Here is a 1,105-nt window from a genome sequence, read left to right as displayed (position 1 = left end):
AATTTTTGTATTTTTAGTAGAGACGGGGTTTCACCATGTTGGCCAGGCTGGTCTCGAACTCCCGACCTCAGGTGATCGGGCTGCCTCGGCCTCCCAAAATGCTGGGATTACAGGCATGAGCCACCACATCCAGCCACATTGAAATGGACTTGTTGCAATAAATAGGAGGTAACTTTAGAAAATTGCAAATTACAGTTCACCCTCGGACAATGTAGGGGTTAGAGTACTGACCTCCACACACTCAAAAATCCACATATAACTTTTGACTCCCCAAAAACTTAACTACTGTTGATTAGAAACCTTACTGATAACATAAACAGTTGATTAACACATAGTTTGTATGTTATATGTATTATATACTGTATTCTTACAATAAAATAAGCTACAGGATAGAAAATGTCATTAAGAAAATCTTAAGGAAGAGAAAACATATTTACTATTCATTCAGAGGAAGTGGATCATCATAAAGGTCTTCATCCTTGTTATCTTCACAATGAGTAGACTGAGGAGGAGGAAGAAGAGGGGGGTTGGTCTTGTTGTCTCATGCGTGACAAAGGCTGAAGAGTTGGAGGAGGTGGAAGGGGAGGCAGGAGAGGCAAGTACATTCTGTAACTTTACAGAAATGCATCATAATTTCTGTCTGACTGTTTTGCTTTTTCATTTCTCTAAAAATGTTTCTATTCAATACCAGTCTTTCTTCCACCATTTGCTTTAGTTTCAGTGCCCATGTCATAGAAGGGTCCATGTCATAAAAGAAGTCAAAAGTATTCTTGAATAATCGGAAACCTTCTGCCAGATTGTCTAATGTCAGTTTTCTGGCACTGCTTCTACGTCTTCTTCCTCATCGTCTGGTACTGGTTCAGAAGCACTCATCCCCATCAAGATGTCTTCTGTTATTTCCTTTGGTGTGGTGTCTATTAGCTCTTGAATTTTTCCAAGATCCATATCTTGAAACTATTCACCCCCCACCTTTTTGCTGTATTGACAATCTTTTTCATGATTTCCTTGATTGGCTCTGTCATAAACCCTGTTAACTCTTGCACAACATCTAGACAGTTTTTTTCCAGCAGGAATTTATTATTTCAGGTTTGATGGCTTTCATAGC

The 1,105-nt window shown here is 39.2% G+C and overlaps 1 annotated feature.

The window, feature by feature from the left end:
- Positions 466-535: an enhancer, noted in NCBI's record as "active region_29667". NCBI's record gives its function as "activates an Ori minimal core promoter by ATAC-STARR-seq in GM12878 lymphoblastoid cells {active_cell/tissue: GM12878}" and the evidence as "EXISTENCE:reporter gene assay evidence [ECO:0000049][PMID:35858748]".

This window comes from Homo sapiens, chromosome X (assembly GCF_000001405.40).
Source record: "Homo sapiens chromosome X, GRCh38.p14 Primary Assembly".
Classification (NCBI taxonomy): domain Eukaryota; kingdom Metazoa; phylum Chordata; class Mammalia; order Primates; family Hominidae; genus Homo; species Homo sapiens.
This window is presented reverse-complemented; position numbering and strand designations above follow the sequence as displayed.